General features: G+C 44.6%; 1 annotated feature.

Annotated features, from left to right (window-relative positions):
• Nucleotides 5,046-5,295: an enhancer, noted in NCBI's record as "active region_25989". NCBI's record gives its function as "activates an Ori minimal core promoter by ATAC-STARR-seq in GM12878 lymphoblastoid cells {active_cell/tissue: GM12878}" and the evidence as "EXISTENCE:reporter gene assay evidence [ECO:0000049][PMID:35858748]".

Genomic DNA, 8,092 nt, shown 5'->3' with positions numbered 1-8,092 from the left:
GTTCTCACTCTCATTTTTCCTTTTTTTTTTTTTTTTAATGTTTTAGAGACACGATCTCACTTTGTCACCCAGGCTTCAGTGCAGTGGCATGATCACGGCCCACTGCAGCCTCAAACTCCTGCCTCAGACTCCGGAGGAGCTGGGTGTACAGGTCACCACACAGGGCTAATTTTTTGTTTGTTTGTTTTGTTTTGTTTCGTTTAGGTTTTTTCTTTTGTTTTTTTTTTGTTTTTTTTTTTTGGTAGAGATGGGATCTTGCTTTGTTGCCCAGGCTTGTCTTGAACTCCTGGCCTCAAATGATCCACCCGGCCTCTCAAAGTGCTGGGATTACAGGTGTGAGCCACCACACTCGGCCCTTTCGTTTCTTGTTACCCTCAGAAAAGAGACAGGCCACATTTGCTGTGGCTGCAGCTGCCTACCCACCCACCTGCCTCTCATCACATGCTCTAATCAGTTATGGCTTCTGTGTCTTTATGATGCTCTAATCCAAATATCACACCTTTCACAACACCACCAAAATAAAAACACGGCTCGAGGTGTGATCATATGTAATGTGCAAAATGGGCCCTCGGTTCTATAAAATCAAGTGCTTTTATAGCATTGGTTAGGCTACAAATTTTGTTATTTGACTTATTAGCTAATTCTGTTCTTGTCATTAAACATCCTGTTTGTTTTGTTTTGCCAACAGTACTCTCATGTGGTTACGATGGGGTAGCCCCAAACACATGTGACTAATAAGAACGAAACAGTAACATTATGTGTCCAGGATTCTAACTGAAAAATTGATTGGGGGCTCAGCTGAGGAAATAATGATGTCCCTTTATTAATCCCACCTCAATCACCGGTCTCTCTGAATCAGAAACTTCTTGTCCCAGCCAGCTGCTTCCAGTAGAGAGCCATGAATATGAGATAGCCAAGTTTTCAAGAAGAGGCCTGACAAAACTGAGGATGAATTAAGTGACCAAGTGTCCAAATGGCTTTGTTCTGTTAGATATTCTCAGAGATAGTGTTACAGGCCTGATAGAATGAGGGAGGAAAGCAGTTTCCAAGGGATTGCTGTCCTTTGTGAAGAAGAGCAATACCCATGCAGCTTGATGAGCTGAGTAATTCGAGAAAATATAGGGGACTTTGCAGGCGTTGAAGGAATATACAATTTATTTATTGCCAGTGCAATGAATTGTTGCGATTAACTTTTCTTCTTTCCTTCCTTCTTTGTTCCTTTCTTTCCTTCCTTCCTTCCCTTTGCCCTCCTTCTCCCCTTTCTCCCTCCCTCCTCCGTCTCTCTCCTTTTCCTCTTTCTCTCCCTCATTTCTTTCCTTCTTTCCTTTATTCCCTCCCTCCCTCTTTCCTTTCTTCCTTTCCACTTATTTTCCTTTTCCTTGCTTTCCTTTCCCTTCTCTTCCCATCCCCCCTTTTTCCCTTCCCTTCCCTTCACTTCCCTCCCCTCCCCCTCCCCTCCCTTCCCCTCCCCTCCCCTCCCTTCCCCTCCCCTCCCCTCCCTTCCTCTCTCCTTCCCTTCCCTTTCCCTTCTCTTTCTCTCCACTTCCCCTTGTTCTTCCCCTTCCCTTTTGCTTTTCCCTTCCTCTTTACTTTTCCATCCTTTCCTTTTTTCCAGGCTAGAGTGCAAGGCAGGAGCAGAAAGATCTCTGGTCAGGGACTGAAGTGACATGAGTGTAATCCAAGTTCCACCAGGGGCCAGTTTTGCAACTTTGAACAAGTCACTCAGTGTTACAGGCTCTTTGTTTTCTCACCTTTAAAAGGGAAGAGAGAGGATCTCTGAATGAATAGGAAGCCCAAAGCACTCTAGGAATATAGCACATTTCTGCTTTCATGCCCCGTTTTAACTGAGTTTGTTGCTTCCATTTTCTTCCTGTGTGCAAGAGTTAAATCCATCTGCTGAGGTACAGTCATATTTAGTAGCCGGTGTGAGAGTCTGAGCTTGGCCACAGGGCCAACCCTGAGCAATGCAGAGCAAGTGGGTTCCAGGCAGGATTCTAGGCCAGTCACCTTTCCTGTCCCTTTTGGCAGAATTAATCTTACCTTTATTTTCTCCCCAGAGAGTGGTTTATGTCTCTTGTAACAGTTAACTTTTTATGTCAACTTTTTTTATGTCCCTTAAACTTTTTTTTAATGTCAACTTTTTTTATGTCAACTGTTTTTTTAATGTCCCTTATAACAGTCAACTTTTTCATAGCTCTGCATTATCTGTACTCACCTCTGAAATGGTTGCTTATTTAAGGGCAATGGCTATGCTTTATTCATCCTTCTATTCTTAGAGCCAATAGGACCAATTGAGGAGGGAAAGGGAAAAGGAGGGAAGGAAGCAGCAATAGAAGGAGGGAAGGAAAGAAGGAGGGAGGGAGGGAGGGGAGAAAGAAAGGGAAGGCAATTCAGAGGGAGGGAGAGAAGAAATGCGAGGGAGGGAGAGAAGAAGAGCAAGGGAGGGAAGAAGGGAGAGAGGAAGGAAGGAAAGAGGGAAGGGAGGGAGGAAGAAAGGAAGTAAAGAAAGAGAAGAAGGTAGTGAGGGATGGAAAGAGGTAGAGAGGGAATGGGGGAGGGAAAGAAGAAGGATGAAAGAGAGGGAAAAAATGTAGGAAGGAAGGAAAGAAAGAATGAGGGAAGAGAAGAAAGGAAAGGGAAAGAAGGAAGGAATGAAGAGAGGGCAGGAGGAAGAGAAGAATTGAGGAAAAGAGGAAGGAAGAGAGAAAGTAAGAAGAGAGGGAAGAAGGAAAGGAAGGGAGGAAGGGAAAGAGGGAAGGAACAAAGAAGATAGGGAAAAGGAAGAAAAGAAAGATGAGAAGAAGAAGGATTGAAGAAAGGGAAGAAGGAAGGAAGGAGGGAAAGAAGAAGGATGGAAGAGGGAGGGAGGGAAGGAAGGAAAGCCAGAATTAGGAGAAATTCACTTATTATTTATACAATATTGGGCAAGTTCACAACCATCTCATTCAGTTTCTTACAATACTACTAGTCTTAGCAACCATTACTGTTTTTCATTTTGCCCATGGGAAACCATGCCTGAAAGAGGTTGAGACTTGACTAAGGTTACCCAGCTAATAAGGCAAGTGCCTGGTTGACAGTGACACCTGTGACTGCACTCCCAGTGTCCTGTCCCAGTACAGCTCCACTGCTGTCTCCTCCAAGTGGGCTGTGGCTCTATGACTTACTATTCTGGATTAACTGGCTCTCCCCAGCTTCTCTATCCAGCCAGAACTGCACGACCTCATGCACTAGGCCTTATATTCATCACAGCAGAGAAGCAACAGGTCATGCAAGGACCAGAGTGGGTTGTAGGGGCCTCGGGGGCAGTCCTGAGATGTCACTCCATCTTCATGTCCTCAGGCCAGGACCCCCTCTAACAGGGACTCATGTTTGCCCACGAATGAGAGAACACATTAACACATGCATGGCTGAGAAAGGATCCCTTGATGGATATTATACCAGACCCTGAGGAAGAAGAGTCAAGGAGCAGGTTTGCCTGGGAGGAAAACACAAGGGACCATGCCCCGGGAGGAGAGGCACCTCAGGGCACCCATTTGCAAATGAAATAGAAGAGAGGTAAGGAGCTCAGGTGTGCTCACAGAAGGATGAGACAAGGTCATCTGCTGCAACTGAGGGTGCCAGCTGCTTATGGTTTGAAAGTGGAAAAGAGACTGTGTGGAATAAAACATAAACGAAGTTAGGATGACTGCAGACCTGACCAGGAAACCAAGAAGGCCTTAATGGAACGCAGATCCAGCAAGGGAACCTTGCATATTTGCTCTATGGGGAGAACTGCTTGGGATGCCAAGGTGAGCCAGCTTTACAGGTGGCAGTGGAGAGAACTGGCAGACTGCTGCCACACCTCACCTTTACAGGTGAGGAGACAGTGTGGCTGCCCTGGGGAAGGAGGGCCTCCTGGGGACTGTGTGTTCCAGGCACAGCAGCTGCAGCAGTGTCTGCAGAAAACACAAAGGGCTCCCCACTCCTGCTCATGCACTCACTCCTCCCGCTGACTGCAGATTGCCTGAGCCCAAGGAGAAGAACTTTCCTTCATTTAGTTCACACCTTTGGCAAAGCCATTTAACTTGAATTCTGGGCTTGGGCCAGTGAAGGAAATGCTTTGAAACCATCTTTGAGGGTTAGAGGGAATAAAAGCCACTTCCACCTGAAATCAAGGGTCAGCAGGATCGTTGTGGTTCAGGCAGAAAGGTGACCATTAATGAGTGGGAGAGGCCACTTTGGTGCTCAGATGGCTTTTTATGGATATACACAGAGCAGGCCTGGCTGTTAAGGGAGCCACTAATTAAAGTTCTGCCCTGGAACGAGCTACCAGTCGGCAGGGCAACAGCTCCATTACTGCTTCCCCTTTTGATACATGTCTGTGGTTGAGAATTACTGTTCCCTGGGCTGACCTGCCGCACATGCTGCCTGATTACAGCACACCTTGGGGACTCATGCCTTCTGCTACGATGCCAAAAGTCAGCAGCATCTGTTCAGATAATCAAATGGATGACTCACAGATATTCTTCTGAAATCAGTGGCAAAATCTTACTCCTTGAAAAGAGGTTTCCAGGGATCCATTTTTCGTAGACTATAAAGTCATCCACTGTACTGGTATCACAGACCCCATAGATGTGGACTAAAAAGAAGTTTCAGAAACAATTGTTGTGAAACAAAGGCCTATCAAAGTTTACTACTCTAAGAAGTACAATAAGCAGTTGGTTTAGAATGGTTGGAATTGCAGATGGCATAGCACTGTGCAATAGTGGGAAAGGATCTAGATCCATAAGGCAGAGGTAAGAAGCTTCGGGTTGCATTTTTAAAGCTGTTTCCTCCTCTTACCTTTGGAGAGTTCCAAAGGAGGAAATCTGTGGCTAGTGCTGCATGCCATGTGGCCCTATTTGGACAGGATTTTTCTTTGGAGTCAATAAAGGGAACCTGAAATCCACTCTGGAGCCCTTCTGAGTTGGGATGTGTTTTCTCCTGACTTCTCTGGCCCATGGTCTTCCCAGGAGCCAGACACTGGACCTGGCTGTGATACCACAAGAGATGGAGTATTATTTATACCCTGTGGTCTATGTAGGGGATGCTTTGCTTGGCTGAGCACAGCAGAAAGCAGTGCAGGAAGGGGAGGGTGTTTCCAGGTGGGCTCATAATGAGTCAGTGGCTAAGAGAAAAAAAAACAAACTCTATTTTTAATTTGCTTTCACACCATGACAATCAACACAGAAAACTTCTGTGGCCAAATGTTTGGGGATTACCCCCAACCATAAAGCAAGCAATCAGTTTTGCAGTAGACACCAGCTGGGTGTCCTTCAGTTCAATTCTGACTCCGTCTATCTGGAGATAGCCTCAGATCCCACAGGTTGGGAAATCAGTCCCCAAGACTGCTCCCACTTCTGATGCCAATCTCAAGGCCCAGGTTGTTTTACCTGTGCTTCTGAATGACTGGCTATAAATTGGGGATCCCATAAGCCCCCTTCTTTGGTTTGATTAATTTACTAGAGTGGCTCACAGAACTCAGGGAAAGACTTTGTTTACCAGTTTATTATAAAGGATATCACAAAGGATACAGATGAAGAGATGCATAGGGCAAGGTGTGGGGGAAAAGGCATGGAACTTCCATGCCCTCTCCAGGTCCCCACCCTCATAGGAACCACTGCACATTCAGCTATCCTGAAGCTCTTCAAATGCTATCCTTTTGGGTTTTTATGGAGGCTTCGTTAGGCAGGCATGTAGGTTAAATCATGACAGACTCATTAAAATACAAAAAGACATTACTCTGGGGACTCTAAAGATTTTAGCAGATATATGCTAGGAAGCAGAGTTGAAGACCAAATATGTATTTCATAATATCACAGGGGCACATGCATCTTTGGTGGAGAGTCAGGAAAGTGGGTCTCCCAGGATGGCTTATCTCCTTGGTCCCAAGCTTGTTGAGCTCTAGAATATTCCCTGGTGTGCCAAGGGGACTTTGAAATTCTCTGGGGCACCTCAATTCTTTCCCAAGTATCACTAGCTATATGGGATAATGGCAGAACCTGAGGATGGGAGGTACAAGGGATTCCCTCTGTAAACAGATGGTCAGGAACCTGACTTCTCCCTGACGCTGCTTGAAGCTCTGACACTGGGCCTCATACTTGGGCTGAGACAGTGGGTGTGTGCTTCAGAAGAATCCTGGTCTCATTGTCACAAGGAGGTAAGTCCTTGTTCCAAACGACTTCTTCATGGGATCTAAACATGAGAACATATAGATATCTAGGACTTACGGGACAAGGACAATGACAGTGACCACCCCTACTCTATCTCACTTCTGTATTTCTAGCATCTAGAGCATGTAGCATCTATAGCATGCAGCAGGGGCACAATAAATGTTTACCGGATGAATTAACAAAGAATCACAAAACGACATGACACAAAGTGCTTTTTCCTACATCTCCGGTTACCAACCCCCTCCACTCCCTCACCCCTCTCCCTAAGCTCCCCACCTCCTCAACACCAACCCACTAGGACTGTACTTAATCATGCAAAACAGTTCTGCAAATACACTGAGCCCTAGGACACTGAGGGAGCACAGGCCTCCGTACTTCTCTGCCATTTTCCAGGCTTTTCCAGGCACCACTTCACGCCCTCACTCAGGAACATGCTAGCTAAGTTTTATCTCCAGCTATTGAAAGAAACTCCTTCCTTTCAGCACCAGGCATAAATAAGCCTGAAATTTCTCTGTGGTTCTGGGCCAAGAATTCTTGTTATATCACTTTTCTCATACCTTATGCATCCTAATTATTCCATACTCCCTAGTGATATTCAAGAAAACAATCCTTTGGAGGGCTATTGAGGAATTCAGCACCTGGTTTCCACCACTGGCCAGTGAAGAGATGCTCAGGAATCCATGGAATTTGAGAATGGAGAGATCTTCTCTATTTTATTCCTCTGGAGTTGGTATTATGTACTTAGTCATTGGCCTTTAACTTCATTCTTTACATCACATTATTCAATTTGGTCTATTATTCTAATAATTGATATTCTGTCTTCCAGCAAATTAAATAACCAGTCCCTGCTTGGGGTTCTCTGAGTTTCCTGGATCTGTGGTTTGATATCTGACATTAACTTGAGGAAATTCTCAGTCATTATTGTTTCACATATTTCTTCCATTCCTTTTTCTCTTTGTTCTCCGTCGGGAATTCCATTGCACATATATTGTTTCTTTTGTAGTTGTCTCAGATAATTGTCTCAATTCCATTCTATTGTTTTCAGTCATTTTTCTCTTCGCTTTTTAATTTTGGAAGTTTCTTCTGATATCCTCAAACTCAGGGATTCTTTTTTCAGCTATGTCCAGTCTACTATTTAATAATAATAAGCTCATCAAAGGCATTCTGCATTTCTCTAACAGTGGTTTTCTTCACTAGTGTTTCTTTTTGGTTAACCAAAATTTCTTAGAATTTCTATTTCTCTGCTTACATTGTTCAATTGTTCTTGCATGGTATTTACTTTACCCATTAGTCCCCTTTGCATATTAATTATAGTTGTTTTAAATTTCTGGTATTGAAATTCCAACATCCCTTCCATATCTGGTTCTGATGTCTGTTCTGTCTCTTCAAACTGTTTTTGTTTTGTTTTGTTTTGTTTTGTTTGCCTTTCAGTGTGCCTTGTAATTTTTTCTTGATAGCAGGGCATGATTTAATGCATGAAAGGAACTGTGTCAATTGGGCTTTAGTGCTGTGGTGGTAAGGTGTGGGGAGGGGAAACAAGGTATAGTCCTGTGAGTAGGTCTCAGTATGTGGCAAGCCTGTGCTTCTGGACTGTAAACTTCATCAAGTACTTCTCAATTTTTTATCCCCCTTTAGGTGGCACAGGATGGCTGGAGTGGGCTAGAGTTGGATATTCCCCTCACTCAAGGTAGTTAGACTCCAAGAAAACCCTGGCAGGCTAGGCTCTGGTTAACTAGTTTCTTCTGAAGGCAGGCCTTCTTCTTCCTGTTAAGAAGAGAATGCTCTGGTGTATTCAAAATAGTTCCTTTTCCCCTCCCCTTGCTGGAAGCAGGATCCTGTTTGATCTCTAGGAGGCAAAACTCACAAAAGTGTGCCCTTTTCCCCCCGTGCCTGGTGACTGG

Source organism: Homo sapiens, chromosome 7, assembly GCF_000001405.40.
Source record: "Homo sapiens chromosome 7, GRCh38.p14 Primary Assembly".
Lineage (NCBI taxonomy): Eukaryota > Metazoa > Chordata > Mammalia > Primates > Hominidae > Homo > Homo sapiens.
Note: the sequence above shows the minus strand (reverse complement) of the source record. Positions and strands in the feature narration are given on the sequence as shown.